Consider the following 1,261-nt stretch of genomic DNA (forward strand, 5'->3'; position numbering starts at 1 on the left):
CGTTTGAGCAGACCAGTTATTAGGTAATTTTCCTAACTCTGCTTCTACAAGAGTTTCCCTATCAATTATTGAATACCCATTGCCACTTTTTCTCCCCGCCCTCAATCACCCAGGAGGAATCATCTATGGTCCTGTCCTGAAGGGGGTTCCTCCTAGGTCTGGATGGACCTTTGTATGGTAATTAAGATTTAAATCCCCTGTTAGGAAACCTGCTGTGTTAAGGGAATTTTCAGTGGTTAATGATCAATCATCTTTTTCTAACAGAATAGCCCTATACTTTAAGATTTTTGAGTTAGTAAGCTACCTTTTTGCTTTTTAACTTAGGATAGTTCTCAACTGGTGAGGTGTGCTCACAATGAGGCTTCCTCTAAAAGTTATTTTTTTACTTTCTTCTGTTAGCAGAGCAGTTGCCACTACAGATTGAATGCATCTGGCCATCCGCGGGTTACTGGGTGAAGGATTTTTGATAGGAAGGCTACGGGTAGTCCGTGGCCTCAGTGCTTTTGGGCTAGGCCCTTGTTTACACTGACAACAAAGTGGTATTGGAGTGTTAATAGGGTCACGGAGAAGACTTTTAATTATCAATTATAGGTTCTAAATTTACCTTGGCTTTTAAAGGAATAGGGTACACTTTTTTTTCCTCAACTGCTTGTGTATCTTTTTTTCTCTTTGACTTTCTCTCTCTCTTTGACTCCCTTTTTGTCTGTCTCTTCCTATCTCTCTCTCTGCCTCTCTTCCTATCTCTCTCTCTGCCTCTCTTCCTCTCTCTGCCTCTCTTCTCTCGCTCTCTGTCTCTCTTCCTTTCTCTGTTTCTCTTCCTCTCTCTGCCTCTCTTCTCTCTCCCTCTGCCTTTCTCTCTCTCTGCCTTTCTCTCTCTCTCTGACTCCCTCTTTCTGTCTCTTCTTTTCCCTCTCTGCCTCTCTCCCTCTCTCTCTGCCTCTCTCCCTCTCTCTCTGCCTCTCTCCCTCTCTGCCTTTCTCTCTCTCTCTCTTTGACTCGCTCTTTCTCTGTCTCTTCTTTTCTCTCTCTGCCTCTCTCCCTCTCTCTCTGCCTCTCTCCCACTCTCTCTCTGCTGCTCTCCCTCTCTCTCTCTCCTCTCCTGCCTCTCTCTCTCCTCTAGGGTAGGGACCTGGGGGAGTGGAGCTACTCTCTCTTTCCCCAAGAAAAAAGGAAAGGGGGGGATTGTGTCAGGTTCAACCCTTGAAATTAGCAGAAGGCTTAACCCCTCAACACCAGGGATGTCTTGCCTTGCCTGTCTCAG

The 1,261-nt window shown here is 45.7% G+C and overlaps 1 annotated feature.

Moving 5' to 3' along the window:
* Positions 425 to 956: an enhancer, noted in NCBI's record as "H3K27ac-H3K4me1 hESC enhancer chrX:108483829-108484360 (GRCh37/hg19 assembly coordinates)". NCBI's record gives its function as "activates a minimal SCP1, AML or CMV promoter by ChIP-STARR-seq in naive H9 embryonic stem cells {active_cell/tissue: H9 hESC(naive)}" and the evidence as "EXISTENCE:reporter gene assay evidence [ECO:0000049][PMID:30033119]".

This window comes from Homo sapiens, chromosome X, assembly GCF_000001405.40.
Source record: "Homo sapiens chromosome X, GRCh38.p14 Primary Assembly".
In the NCBI taxonomy this organism is placed as follows: domain Eukaryota; kingdom Metazoa; phylum Chordata; class Mammalia; order Primates; family Hominidae; genus Homo; species Homo sapiens.